Below are 15,743 nucleotides of genomic sequence, written 5' to 3'. Positions count from 1 at the left end.
GGAGAGGAAATGGAATGCGATCTGCTGGGAATTGAGGGGGAATAAGGGTATGTTTCTTCCTCCCTTGAGAATAAGATTTAAAAGAGACTGTGGCCCTCAAATCCTTTTGATGACTGAGCTGCAATGTCAGCTTCCCTGCTCCTCCCATTCCACGCAACGTGCGCAGAAATTCTCGCACTGCTCTTTTCTCTCCACCATCTCTGTCTCCTCTCCTGTTCCTGCCTCTCTTCATATTCATCCGCCCGTGTGTCTCTTCCCACGTGTTCTCTTTTTGGGTCCTCTAGTTTCCTTACTCCTTCCTCTCTCTTAACTCTGAGGTCGACTCCTCTGAGCCACCCAGTTTCCCCCCATACCCACTGCCCTGGTCACAGATGATTTCAAACCTCCTTTTACCCCAGGAATAAACAGGGTGGGCTGTCCGGGGTATTCAGAAGGAATGGAGCTGGCAGAGGCTGGGGTGGTGGGTGAGAAAGGCTTGGTGGATCTGGACTGCAGGACAACCCTTCGCAACTCCAGGCCCGGACCACTCCACCCTTCCTTTTCTCATTAAGAGCAGAAACTCTTGAGCAGGGGCTCCCAAAAGTGTCATTTGTCACCGTGATTGGGCACCAGGGTGGTGGCAGAGAGGGTGCCTGCTAGACAAGAGAACTGTTCTGTCTTTATAAGAGAGTTGAAAGAGAGAAAGGAAAAAAAGAAAGAAAAATTCCACATCACATGAAATACGAGTAAGAGAATTTGCCCTTCTCAGCCCAGTTTCTTTCTGGTTGGTAGGCCGGAGGGGCATGGGGGAGGAGGCAGGGAGAGAATGGTAATTACCAGAGTTTCTCCATTTCTGTATTTTCTTGATGTCCTCAGAGGTTCTTAATGGAGGGTGGACTGCTTGCTGCAGACATCTCGTCCTGGAAATTTCTTTACCAGCAAGCCTTCATATCTGGACTCACCCTCAATCCGTGCAAGGGCTGTGCTCAGATGTGGGGATGGGAGGCACGTTTCGTCATACTGGTACTGTGAGAAAACATTTTAAATGGTCCATTTTCAAGGCATGATAAATCTAAGTACCTGCAGCCAGCCTGCAGATGTGACAAGCCACACAGCTCATGCAGCTAGAAAGTCACGCTAAGTAAACAGAATATAGAGGAGTGGTCAGCCCACAGAAGGGAAGAAAGTTTCATTATTGGGAAATTGAAACTTCAGTGGGGAAGGGGACCAGGGTATAACCTCATAAGGGGGGATAATGAAACTTAGGCAACATCCAGGAAGATTGTTACCCTGCAGTACTGGACTAATGAGGAAGTGGGGGAGTGACTTGCCTGCTAGGAGATAAATTACCCGCTGTAACTGCCCTGGGTGTGCCTGCCTTCCAGACACCCAATCTTGCAAGACCACCATCAAAAGTCTCACTTTGGCTATTCTTCATGTCTCCAAGTACATTCTTTGGGTTTGGACGGGTAAATGTGTTTCTCACAGTACCTAGAGTGGGCTTCAAGCCTCTAGGAAAACACGAGGTACCAGTTACCCAAATGTGGACATCTACCTGGACTATCTCAGAGTCATAAGTCTACCCTGTCCCTGTCCCATCACTGCCCCCTCCTCCTCTCATCAACTTCAGACCCATCTTATTCCTGTAAAGTCCCTGGGGGCTCCACCTGGAGATGCTGACATCCACCTAACCATGCTGGTGACCAGGCCAGAGCCTGGAGTGAGGAAGTCTCTGGGCTTTGGCTGGTGGCCTGCCTTACTCTGTGTCTCCTTGAACAAGTCCCGGCCTTGCTGAGATATAACGTCCTCTTGTTTAGGATGAGACAATAAGTGAACTTTCCTCCCTCAGAGCGTTGGCCTAATCAAGCATCCTCATCCCAAGTTTCATGGACACCGAAGAACACAGCCCCGTCAGGATAAAGGATTTCATCATTGAAAAAACCAGCACAGATGGATAGAAAAGGCTGCTTTGGGGCAGTTGAGTGCATGTGTTTGTGTGTGGAGAGAGGAGGGATGCAATGTCTTATGAAAAGAACTAAGAATCAATGAAAAAGGGAAAAAAAAGAATAGAAGAAACAGCAAAACCAAGACATAACAACTTGAAAGTGGGAAATCTGAAAGCACCTGAAGAATGTGGTTTGATGTATAACTTACAGAGAATCCATGAAAAGAAAGTGAACGGGGTCCCAGGGGATACGGGGAGATAATGATGCTCTCAAGCTATCACGTGTGCCATTCTGCTGTCTGTTGCTGTGGCAAATGATTAAAAAAACCTACAAAATCTGATTGCTCTGCCCTTCCACCAAAAGAGAAAATTCACGACCAAGAACTTCACTACCAAGAGCAGTACCTTTCCACTAATGAGGCAATATTGAGTAAAGCCATTTTCAACATTTATGATAGCTTCAATGAAAATGTGTAAACAGTGTGTTTATTTGGATAAATGAAAATGGTTAAAAATTTTAGGGTGCTGTAGTTTTGATCTGGGGCAGAGGAGGGTAATGACTACTTCCCACAATTCTCTTTATGGAAAATTCAAAAATCTCAGAGACGATGCCTGATCATTTTCCCCCTACCCAGTTCTAGCTCCCAGCCCCCTTGGCTCTCCAGAAGCCTGTGGTGAGCTGTGATCAGCATGGATGTTATCCAAGACGGAAAAATAGACCTGTCCAAAAAGGAACAGCAAAAACAACAACGACAAAACCCACTGTCGAAATTAATGTCCAGTGAGGATGGACGAGGAGAGAAAGACTCTAGCTTCACACGCCGAAATGTGTTTTCCAGACCGGCTAAATGAAGCTCGTGGTATTAAAGGCATAAATCAACCTCACAGCTGTCTGGGCTATACATGGGCAGGTCTGCTTATGAAACAGATGCCATCCCAGAGCCAGATTTCCAAAGGAGGGTCATAAATGTCCAATCCCGAGGCTGGCTCCCCAGAGGCCACCTGATTTGTGCGCCGGCTGGTGGAGTTAAAGAGGTTGGGATGGCATGATTTTTGCCAGGCACATTCCACTACATCATTGCCCCTCTTTGGAAGGTGAGACATCACTTAGGGAAGAGAAAAAGCTAGAATCAGTCTGGATCCTGGGTGGGGCCCAGGGTGGTCTTCAGGTCATCCTCCCTCCACTTCCAGCAAGTGTCATCCACTGCCAACCTCTGGCCCTAGGTCTCCAGTGGATTAGCCCATCTCAGACATTCTGGGCACCACCTATCTAGATTCAGAGAATTCCACACCCCATGCATTGGTCAAGAGCACAGTTCCTGACTTAAAAATGGTCCACAGGGAAAGGCTGGAGACTCATCTCCCTTTGCTGTGCTAAGACCACAAAAAAGCCGCCTTAGGTGGTCAACACACAGCCTAGAAAATTGAAGCCCGGGGTTCCAGGCACTAGTCGTTATTTGTGAGAATCTGTATGCAACCATTTTCCTCTTGGGCCTCAGTCTCCCCAGCTATCTAATGGGTGGGTTGGGCAATACATGATCACTCAGGAGGCCCTGTTCTGTTCCAAGATTCTTGGGAGTCATATCTATGCCATTTCAGCCAGACTGTTATCTCCAAAGGAATTGAATGTCAAAAATTGTCACATCGTAAGTCACACTCAAAACAGACATCAAAATAAATGCTCTGAGTAGTCTCTCCCATTCCTCAGGATGCCTCATGCCATCATGACTCTGTTAAAGAGACTGGCCTGTGGCATCAGCAGTGATCCAGATTTGAAGCTATGCTTCTTACCAGCTGTGTGACCTTGAGCAAGATATCTGATTGGCCTCACTTGCCTGGTTTTAAAAATATGGTTGACATTTTTGACCTCTGAAGAGCACAGTGAAGAGTCAGTGAGATAAGGTGCATGGAAATACCTAGCTCCGACCTATGCTGGCTTCTGCCCTTCTGCTTGGTGTTCTTTTTCCCAAGGAAGCTGTTCAAATAAGTCAGCCAGGAGAAGCCGGAGCACTGGGGTGAGGCGGGGGACCAATCACCTATCCCCCAGCTGCGTCACCTAGTATGAGGAGGGTCCAGGGTCACGCCCTGCAGGCTGAGCAATGAGAACCTGTGCTGTCATAGGGCAGGCTGAAGAATCAGAACCTAGTGGGCTGGGGGGCCGGGGATGCATGGACCAGTCGGTAGAAACCAAAAGGAGAATTGTTGGATGCTCCCCATACACAATAAATAAGAGCTTACTAGGCGCAGTGGCTCACACCTGTAATCCCAGCACTTTGGGAGGCCAAGGTGAGGGGGCAGATCACATAAAGCCAGGAGTTCGAGACCAGCCTTGCCAACATGATGAAACCCTGTCTCTACTAAAAATACAAAAATTAGCCAGGTGTGGTGGTGCATGCCTGTAATCCCAGTTACTCAGGAGGCTGAGGCATGAGCATCGCTTAAACCTGGGAGGCAGAGGTTGCAGTAAGCCTGGGTGACAGAAGGACACTCTGTCTCAAAAAATAAATAAGAGCAGTTTGGCTGCATGGAGATGGGGCTACAGGTCTAACCCAGAAAGAACTAGTGACCTTCCAATCTGAGAACCACCAGCATCCACTCACTCTTTCACCATGCCTGACTAGGCCCCTCCCATATCCCAGGATACGGCAGTAAACAATAGGCCAAAATTATCTGCCTTCAAGGAGCTAACCTTTCAGCAAGAGGATAATGATAAAATAAAGATGTAAGCTGCATAGCATCTCTGGTAGTGACAAGTACTGCAAAGCAAAGAAGAGCAGAGTAGCATGACAGGGGCCAGGGGGTGCAGGGAGAATGTCTTTTGGCCCAGAGAGCTGTTTGAAGAGTATTATCCCTGCGACAGGAAGTGGTCATCCTGGCATCCTGACCTCCTCCAAAAGCTGATATAAAGAAGAAGAAAGGGATAAAGGAGACTTGGCTTTTGTCCTAATGGAACCAAGGCAGAGGGTGGAGGTGAGCTGTGAATATTGGATGGGGATAGCTGGGACGTGGGGCTGGGACCACTTCTCTTTCCTGCCCATAGTGATGGGGATACTGCAGGAGGGGCCGTGTGACCCAGAAGGCAGGTGGAGCTCTAGACTTTCCTGGGCTCCTGACATTGCTCTCTTCTTTCAGTCACTTAGCGATCACTTTCCGTATTCTAGGCATTGTGGGAGCCACCAGATACAGGGCTGCTGAGAGGAACCACATTGCATGGCACTGAAGCACCTTCCAGTTTAGAGGGGAAGATACTCCACTGCTTTCCATGCCAGAAAATAAGACTGAGGGGAGGGAATGGGACCAGCCAAGGGGAGACTGGATCTATCTGGCAAAGTACTGAGCAAATCGGCCCAGATGAGTGGACAGCTAGGCAAAGGGGACATTCCAGGAGAAGGTGCACTGGCAAAGACACAGGTAGTGTCCAGGAAGCTGTAAGAGGTCAGCAGAGGATGACTGGATTTTACCTTGAAACAGGACTAAGACTGGTCCAAGGCTTGTGCACCATGCATGTAAATTTTATTCAGAGGACAGAGGAGAAGAAGCGTTGAAACATGAGGGTTCACTTCCATTCAAAATCCCATTCTCTAAAAACATGAGCATCACCCTTTGTCTGTCCCAGTTTTCCAGGCAGCCCAGCACTAAGGTGTGCCAATGAAGTTAGGGGGTGAATGAACACAGAACCTTGTCGCAGGCCGAAAGTAGGGAGTGGGGTCCCCCAGCCCTGGCCCTGGGCTACTGATTGAATCTTTCTGCTGTCAATCTGGTGGTTGGTGGACTTTATGGCGAAGCCCCTGGAATTTACGAATTCATACCCCCAAAATGTAATTACCACCGACACAAATGAGGAAAGACTCTATAAACACTGCAATTTATACACCTTCTGTGGCTATAGGTCACCTGTGATGCAATAACTGGTACTGTTCCTGGAGGAGAGTGGCTTCATTTTATTGGTCCTGCATGAAATTTACACTCCTCTCTACCTGCAGCAAGACAGATTTACTTCTGAGCATCTCTTGCTATTGTAACTTATTTGTTCCTTTTCTAAGGGATGTGAGTTTTGTGTGTAAGTTTTATGTGTGAGTGTATGTGTGTGTTTGGGGGGCTAGACTGAACCTGGAAAGGGGTTCTCAGATCCATTCACTGAAAGTTTGTTGTATTTCTCATCCACTGGCTTAAGACTGCCCTGTCTTCCAGATTGTCCCTGCTGCCTGCTGTCATTGGGGTTGACCCAGAGGAACTTGCAACTGCAAATTAAAGGGGATGGGCCAAAATTTCTTTTCAATTTTGACCTGTTCTTAGTTTTCTCACTCCCTCACTTCCCAGCTAAGGGGCATCTGAGCTGGCTATTTTATTTTCAGCCACTTGGCTTAGCTCCTGGTGGATGCTCTTGAGACAAGCCCCTTTCTCTTCCCACTCACTGTCTCCGTTTTCTTGTTTCAGGCTCTTTGCTGCAAATGCTGCCTCAATCCATTCATCAGCCCAGCCATGTGTCTCCATATATCTATAGCAACAAAACCCATTTCAGCAGTTTCCTCCTTTTGTTCCCTTTGTTTTACGGCTGCTACTTGTCGTAGAGTTCCCTTTCCCCTTCATTTAACAGAAAGGCTTTCACATTAAAGGAACATTTTAACAGTACAATCAAGAAATAGAAATCCAGTTAACTTCTCTCCAAGCTTCTCTCAAATCTCCCAGCTGTTTCGGTTCAGTCTCTGCACTATCTACCTGGCTTTGTTCCACACACAGCCCTCTCCCTCTACTTAGCATTGGGGACCAGAAAGCTGGGACAGCAGAGAAGGCATAGAGAGGGAAGGAAGGAAGGGCTGGGGACACAGCACCTACCCCCAGCACCTCCCCTATCAGCAGCCTCCATGTTGTTGCCTGGTACAAACACCCTGTTCCCCAAATTTTACCCTCCTGCTCCTATAATCCACAATCTCATTGGAAGACATTGCCCACTGGCCATTTATTGTTTCTCCAAAGGTGCTACGAGATACATTCCTATCAGTCTTTGGCTCTGTCATGGGAGATAAGTGACTTGCCTCTCCAGAAAATGCTATTTTTTTCCTCCTACCAAATAAAAGGTATCAAAAACCCATCATCTTTCCCTTTTTGCTTTGCCTTAAAGGAAGCTTCTAGACATATAATTCCTTTATCTATGTTAGTCAATGGGCATAGTTTATTTGCCCCCTCCCTTTCCTTTAACAGCTTTGCTTTTTCTATGTCTAGTCTAAAAATGGTGTATAGACAATGAAAGACATACATATTGCCAACACCACTGGCATACAGGCAGAGGGGAATTTTCAAGGTGCTGCCTGCAATCAAGCTATGCTTCTCCATTCAGTGTCTTGGTTCCTGTTCATCTGGCACCTGCTGGATAACAGAGAAAAGATGTTCTTTCTCTTCCTTCCATGAGTAGAGAACAACAATCTCCTGATCAGACCCTTGCTCTATCCTTATTCTAGCTCCTAGCTAACATGAAGCAAAATGAACTGATGAACGCAGCTGGTGTTCTATATCAAGGCCATATGGCACCAAGCGTTGGCTGTGTTCTTGCGGAACAATTCTAACAAGCAGTACCAACCGACAGAGGCCCACCAAGCCTGCTGGAAGAAAACAGTGGGATGACCCTATAACTCAAAATTGAAGATAGGATAGGGCATGGTGGCTCATGCCTGTAATCCCAGCACTTTGTGACTCTGAGGCGGGCAGACCACCTGAGGTCAGGAGTTCAAGACCAGCCTGGCCAACATGGTAAAACCCCATCTCTACTAAAATTACAAAAAAAAAAAAAAAAAAAAAAAAATTAGCCGGACATCGAGGTGGGTGCCTGTAATCCCAGCTACTGGAGAGGCTGAGGCAAGAGAATCACTTGAGCCTGGGAGGCAAACGTTGCAGTGAGCTGAGATCACACCACTGCACTCCAGCCTGGGTGATGGAGCAAAACCCTGTCTCAAAAAAAAAAAAAAAAAAAAAAGATGAAGACAGCTGTCTGCCATGCTGACAGCAATGGTTCCACAAGTGAATTGCCTCCAGGGCCTGCACTGTCCTCCCAAGAAAACCCGTCACCCTATCATGGAGTAAGAGGAAGGACACTTTATTTCCTAGAAAACCCTCCCCAGCAAAAGCCCTTTTAAGAAAGGATTTTGAGCTTCCAGGATCAGCAGCACTTGGTTCATATGCTTTTCAGTTCCCATTCTGGAAGTTTAAGGAAAGGAAAGGAGAAATCATCAAGTAATAAGCTGTCAGAGCAAAAAGTCCTTCTGAAAAACTCTAGTTCATGTTCTTTATTTTACAGGTAGGGAAGGGAGGAGGAGAAAGGGAAATGATAAGTGCATGACCAGGGTTATAAAGAGAGGGGTGTGTTCAAAGGTGTCTGAGAAAGGAGCTAGCCAGAGATTGAAGTGAGAGGAGAGAGAGGATACAGGAAGGTCAGCAATGATGTGCGGCGTTTTCTATCATACCAGTTGCTGCCCTGGATAGATAGTGCCTCAACCACCAAATACTTGTGCTCCCACACTGCACTGCTGCCCAGGTGAGGTGCTCCCTGGGCCTACATTCTGTGGTCAGAGACGATACTAAAGCTCCCCACTGCTCCAAAGCTCCCCACTGCTCCAAAGCTCCCCACTGTTCCAAAGCTCCCCACTGCTCCAAAGCCCCCCACTTTTCCACCCTGCATCAGACTTCTGACGTGAAGGTTGGCAATGTCTGAAAGGATAAAGGAGGAGGAAAAGTTCTGCCTAGGGAGCCCTAGGGGGCTGGATCTGATGGCCCAGGAGAGCAGTGACAACACTTGTTGAGAGCCGGAGCAATGGCTCTCAGCAGCTGCAGTCACCCCAGGAATGGAGGAAGACCTTGAGCCACACATGACCCTTAGGAAGGAAAACAGCAACATTCTACTCTCTTAATAATACCTGGTCAGGATAAGAACTACAGCCTCTTATTGGCTACTCAGCTCTTGAACTTCCTCCAAGGTAGCTGGGCTGTGGTTCCAGTTTTACAAGTGTGGGGCACTTGGAGAGAGATGGAGAGAGAGAACTCATCAGCTTGCTGTGTGCTCCTGCCTCTGACTACAGGAATAATTAGAAAATCATTTTTCTTAATGGCTTCAAATGTTCTCAGTTTATAGAGAGACATCCATGAACACTGTGTCAGAAATGAACCCTCTCAGATGGAGAATAATTTGGTTGCCTGACACTGACAAGCAAAGCTAACTTAGCAGGTACTAATGGCCCCTATTCCTCTGCCCAGAACCCACCAAAATGCCTGACACTGAGCAGACTCTTATGGGGCACTGGTTCAGTAGACTGCAGGGTGTACCACAGAGGCTGTGGTTCAGGACAGTGGCCATGACTGTCTGGCTCCTCAAAGCTCCCAGAGCAACTGGGTATGCTTCTGCAGGTAGCCTGATTTGCATCCCAGGATAATTTGTGCTTTTGCATAATTTGGGCAGAGGGCATGACACTGGGAGAGCAAAGGTACTCCTGTTTTCTAGCAAAGCCCTCATCCCTAGGGAAGCAGCCAGCCTCTGCACAAGAATGGTTGGGATGCCACCTCTGAGATGAACTGAGATCCTACTGGTGTCAGTGGGGAGGGAGGAAAAGGAAACAATGGGATCTTCAGGGAGGGCTTTGCCTTCTACTCCCAGGCTTCCTGACTTGCACTGCCAGGTGTGGTTTCCTCCCACTGGGCAGCATAGGAGAGGGGCCTTGTGCCCAGGTGTAGGATGCTCTGAGGACTGTGTTGAGATGCCCTGGGGATGAATGGCACTGCCTGTGCAGCCTTCTGTCCAGGAGTTTTACCCTCAGGTGGCTCAGGGAACAAGGATACCCAGCTCTTTCCAACAACTGCCAAGCACAGGATACTCTAACAATATTTAGAATCAGTGCCAATATCAAAGTAGTTGCACCCAGAGCAGCCTAGCCAAACCCTTAAATATGTACCTGGTCTCAGTATTGATGAGGCCTGACATTTGCATGGTGCTTTAGCCTTAACTGAGGACTTTGAAGTTCATTTAAAAAATGTTAACATGCACAACAATGCATTGGAGATAGGCAGAGCTATAGGCTCCCATTTTAGTATTATGGACAGTGAGATTCTGAAAAGGATTATATAACTTGTTCAAAGTCGTGCAGTTAGGAGGTATTGAAACTGACTCTCCACGGCTCCCTCTCCAACTGCAAGGCAAGGCTCTTTCTTCTAATATGCTGCATCTTAGATGTGGATCAAGTTAATCCTTCCACTCAGGAACCCATTGGTGCAGGTGGGTAGGCCACAAAATTTCCCACAACTGTCATGGATGGTGGAACTCTGCAGCTCAGCAATGCATTAAACAGGCACCCCTTCTACTTTGGAGACCTCATAGTCTGGCCTCCCCATGGAGGGCCTATGCTTTCGATTGGTTCTTCCTGAGTATGGTGAGTGAGCAGTGAGCTGGGGCCGGAGAGGGAGCGGGGAGGTTGATGGAGAGATTGCCTTTGCAAGTGAGAGCTGCGTCAGCCTTTTCTGGCTTCCCTCCAATGCCTGCATCTAATAACTGAGTTATAGTTTTTTCATTTTGATGAATTTATCTGTTCCTGGGGTTTTATTTTGTTTTGTTTAGCCTTTGAGAAGTCAGAGTTTTAAAGCCAGAAGGGCCCTTAGACATCATCTCATCAACCCTTAGTTTGGCAGTGGAGAAACAGACTCAGGAGAGGGAAGGGGACCTTTTGGGACAGGGCTGCTGAGTGCCAGAGCTGGTGCTGAGCCTCAGTTACCTGAGGCCAGGCTTTTCTTGATGCTTGTGACTGAAGATATGGAGAGGAGGAGACAACGCCCTTTTAAGAGATGCTCCCTCCCTGAAACCAGGCACACGACAATCATAACAGGCTGGAGACAGAGCTCAGGGATGCAGCCTGGGAGTTCTTTTCTTTATGGAGAGAGGAACCTGCCCATGATGGGTGTGCCTAGAGGAGGGTGGGAATTCCCAGATAGCAGGAGCTAGGCAGCCAGGAAGCAAGGCATTAGCACCTCCAAAGCAGGAATCATGAATCGCATTCCCTTTCTCCTCCTTCCCTTCCCTCCACGTGCAAGGCAGTGGGTGGTCTGCACATTGAAGCAGATGCAAAGAAGTTTTTATATCTTTCCCCATTTAATTTGCTACAAAAGCTGGGCATGGTGGCTCATGCTTGTAATCCCAGGACTTTGGGAGGCCGAGGCAGGTGGATCACCTGAGGTCAGGAGTTCAAGACTAGTCTGGACCACATGGTGAAACCCCATCTCTAGTACAAATACAAACGTTAGCCGGGCATGGTGGCAGGCACCTGTAATCCCAGCTACTTGGAAGGCTGAGGCAGGAGAATTGCTTGAACCCAGGAGGCAGAGGTTGCAGTGAGCCAAGATCACGCCAGTGCACTCCAGCCTGGGCAACAGAGTAAGACTCCATCTCCAAAAAAAATTAAAAAAAGAAAAAAAAATTCCTACAAGAGCCCTGATGGGGTGGTGGTGTTAACCCCATGTTACAGATGGGACAAAGTAAGCTTAGATATGTGATATAATTTGCCCACAGTGACACAGGCGTGCATCGTATGAGCAACAGAGCTAGGATATGTTCTCTCTGAGGTATGCCTTGCCCCAGGGTCCTTCAGTCAAAAAGGTGGCTTGAATAGAGTCTGTCAGCTTCCAGCCCCACTCTATGCAATTATGGGACATCTATACCCTCTTTTCCCTCTCATCACAACTGATCCACAGGAAGGGCTATGATAATGCTTTAAGATTTCACTTCCTGGGCTTCCCATAAAAGGTTCTAAGTCTGAACAATCCAAGGACTGAAGTTTTTAGTGGAATGTCAGTTTCTACCTTTAAGAATGGAAACTGATTCCATGTCTTTTCCCATTCATAAAGGCAAAAACTGACATTCCACTGAAGTTAGAAAAAAAAAAAAAAGAATGAGAATTGTCACCATGCACTGTTTTCTCAAGAAGAGGCTGTCCTATAGCCAGCTCATTATCTTAAATTTGTCAGTGGCACTAGGTGGCCCTGGCTGGCTGCAGATGTTGAGTCAGCTCCATAGGACCGTCTTTGCAAATGTCATCTCGTGCAAGAACAATAATTATCCTGTCTGTTGCCAGAGAGTTTTAGCATTTACAAAGTGCCTGAATACACCGAGACTTAGAAATGATTATCTCTGTGATAATGGATGGAGAAATGGTGACTTCGTGAGGCCAAATAACTTGCTGAAAGTCACACGATATGAGGCTGAATGCAAACCTTCTCCTGCTAGGCTCTTCAAGGCCATGCAGTCTTCACTATACTGTGGAAACCTCACAAGTAACCACTGGTCTACCATGTCTTGGTACCAGTGAATAGACTGGGTTGGCCCAATAGATGCAAGGCTCCCAGAGAAAAGGAGACAGAGCTGTTAGTGTTGAGGAATGCACAGTGGGGAAACCTGAGCAACTTGAGGGGCAGAGGAGTAACAGGATGTTGGACTCGGGCATCTGCAATGAAGAGCTCACCTCCAAGGCAAAGATGGTGCTTGGCCCATCTCTGGACTTCCCTAGTGAATAACACACAATAGGTGTTGTTCCTCCTTCAGTTTCATTACTCCAATCCCTTCAGAAAATGAACAAATCCTATTTTTTATATTAGGAAAGAGAATCTCAGAGACATCAAGTGGTGGACAGGGTTCATCCATAATAGAGCTGACATAACTATTTCCTCTCTATACTCAGGAATGCCTTCTATGTTTTTGTATAAATTTGGGGGGTACAAGTGCAGTTTTGAAACATGGACGTATTGCTGTCCTTTAGTCTGAGTGTGCGTAAGAGATACCCACAGGCCTAACCCTACACTACTCCCTTATACACAGTTGGATTGCAAGTATGAAAATTATATGCACTGAAAAAATATGGATTAAAGATATCAAAATAATGCTAATAATACACAGTATCAGAAGGGTAGGCTGAATGAAAGTCAGGGACCTGGGTTTAGTTCAAGCCTTGTCATAAACTTGCTCTTATAGACCCTTAAGCTTTTTGAGCATCAGTTTCCCTTTTTGTTCTGGAAATGACACATTCTATTCCTGAGAATACCTAATTCTTAAGTCAACAGAGTATTAAGTGAATTAATAAAAAAACAATAACTTACTAATATTTAAGCACAGGCTTGTCTGCTTCCAAATTCTATGCCATTTATAAAAGAAAACTAATGCCTCCATTTCCTTATCTGTTATACAAAATCATTATTATTTATCCTGCCTAAGTCATAGGGTATTTGTGGAATGAAATGAGGAAAGCTTATGAATGCATTTTGTTAACTATAAAGTGTCTAGAACTCTGCCTAGAACAGAATTTTCTTCACAAGGAGCACCTATTATTATGATTATTAATAAAAATAAAGTAGTATAAAAATATCCATTTTATTGCTTGTTCTTCAGGAGTATTTGCTCTTCTTGCAAACCTGCTAGCAGTGCTGGACATATTTATTGAGTGCTGACCTGCAGCATTGGTGCCCCTTGATAATGACCTGTCACAGTAGATCCTCCTCTTCTGCAAGTTCCTGGATGGGGTCTCCTAGACTGACAGTCCTTGGGAATAGAGTTGAAGCCAAATGTACTTTCTTTAACCAGCCTCTATTCTCAGCAAACACAATCCATCTATCAATGGACATGTTTATCAAGCACTTGCTCCTGTTAAATTGCCTGCAAACCCACTTCCAGGGCAGGTCTTCAAGAACTTGGCTGATCAGCAGGTGAATACATATTTTGACCTCTGAAAAGAAGTAACATGTTCGGCTCTGAAGATCACTGATGGGCCGAGACTGTCATGCTCAAACCTGCCATGGCCTTCCCCAAGACTATCAAAGCTGGTCACTGTCAGAGCTCTCTGGACTGAGTCCAATTCTCTGTGTTTACACTTGAAATAAAGCCCCTTTCATTGTTCTTATACCATTCTGGGGAAGGATGTTACCTCCTCATTCAACTGGAATTTTCTTGAAGACAAGATTGCATATTACATTTCTCTGATAATTATCACAAATTATCCATCCGGATGCTAAGCACTTGTGGTATTTTCCCACTTTTCAGACACAAAGTAGATTACATCAGTCTTTAGAATACAAACTTGATGTTGTGACATTGGACACATTGCTGTGGATTTTCAATTTGTCATCTGCAAAATATAGGGGACAAGAATAGACAATTCCCAGGTTTTGTAGAGTTCTGAAATTCTAAGTTCTTTACTGGTTTGTCAAATGACACACACTTAACCACTACAAGGTCAATGACAGATTCTAGTAATCAATTTCAAAACTAATTCCAATTAAACCCAAATTCAACTTTAACCTTCAGAGCATAGGCAACCACTGATGGTTGCATGTGAGTTGGAGCATTTTGCCATGGCGACACCCAAAGCCTTTACTCTGCAGTGTCATGTTTGTCCTTGTATCTCTATGGCTCAGGTAAGATCTGCTCCTACTCCTTCTCCTTTCTTCCTTGCTCAGTAAATCCTACAATTCCTCCACTAAGAACGGAATGGATTTTAAACATTAACTTGGGTGACTGTGACTCAGCAGGGTCTCTATTTCCATGGGATTTGCCTTTTAAAAGATGTTCGATAGAAAATATTTGTAATGTACAGCCAACAAAGGGCAAGTATCCAAGATGTGTAAGTAATTCCTAAAATTCAATAGGTGAAGAGAAAGACAACCCAAAATTCAAAAATGGGAAAAGACACGGTAGGCATGTTACCAAATAAGATATCCAAATGGACAATAAGCATACTAAAAAGACACTCAATTGAATGGAGCATCAGGAAAATACAAAGTAAACCCCCAAGGCAATAACCCTTCACAGTGACCTGAATGCTTAAAATTACAATATCAAATGTGGGTGAGGAGCAACTGGGATTCTCCTACATTGGTGGTAAAATGCCAAATGGCAGAAGCACTTTGAAAAACAATTTTTAGTTTTTTGTAAAGTTAAACATTCACCTAACCTAAAACTCAGCAATCCCACTCTCAGATATTTATCCCGGAGAAATGAAAACATAAGCTCACAAAAAACGACTTCAACAAAAATATTTATGGCAGCTTTATGCATAATAGCCCCAAATAAGAAGCAACCCAAACTCCTGTCAGTGGATGAATAGACAAACAAATTGTGATATATGAACAAGGGAATATTCTTTTGCAGTAGAAAGGAGCAAACGACTGATACACAAAACAATGAAATGGATGAATCTCAAAAGTAATAGCTGAGTTGAATAAGCCACACCTGATATGGTTTCCCTGTGTCACCACCCAAATCTCATCTTGAATCATAGCTTCCATAATTCTCACGTGTTGTGGGAGGAACCTGGTGGGAGGTAATTCAATCATGGGGGTAAGTCTTTCCTGTGCTGTTCTTGTGATAGTGAATAGTCTCACAAGATCTGATGGTTTTATAAAAGGGAGTTTCCCTGCACAAGGTCTCTCTTGCCTGCCACCGTGTAAGACGTCCCTTGCTCTTCTGCCATGATTGTGAGGCTTCTTCAGCCATGTGGAACTGTGAGTCCATTAAACCTCTTTCCTTTATAATTACCCAGTCTTGGGTATGTCTTTATTAGCAGCATAAGAACAGACTAATACAACACCCAAGAGTGTACAGACGGTCATGATTTCATCTTTATGAAATTCTGAAACAGCAAACCTAGTCTGTGGTCATAGAAATCAGTTCTGTGGTTGTCTTGGGATGGGTATGTGGGTGTCAAGGGGCAAAGACTGGCTGTGAGGGGAAACAACTTTCTGAGATAATGAAATGTTTTCTACCTTGATTGGGTGACGGCTAGCAAGAAGTATATACTATTTT

General features: G+C 45.6%; 1 long non-coding RNA gene across 1 annotated transcript in view; it reads right to left on the bottom strand.

Moving 5' to 3' along the window:
- The window catches only part of LOC105379315 (uncharacterized), a 283,462-nt gene that overhangs the window by 31,323 nt on the left and 236,396 nt on the right, over positions 1–15,743 (bottom strand). Inside the window, exon 3 of the long non-coding RNA XR_949569.4 lies at positions 817–1,005. This is a non-coding gene — a long non-coding RNA (uncharacterized LOC105379315). The remainder of the gene's footprint in view (positions 1–816; positions 1,006–15,743) is intronic.

Source organism: Homo sapiens, chromosome 8 (genome assembly GCF_000001405.40).
Source record: "Homo sapiens chromosome 8, GRCh38.p14 Primary Assembly".
Classification (NCBI taxonomy): Eukaryota; Metazoa; Chordata; class Mammalia; order Primates; family Hominidae; genus Homo; species Homo sapiens.
Note: the sequence above shows the minus strand (reverse complement) of the source record. Positions and strands in the feature narration are given on the sequence as shown.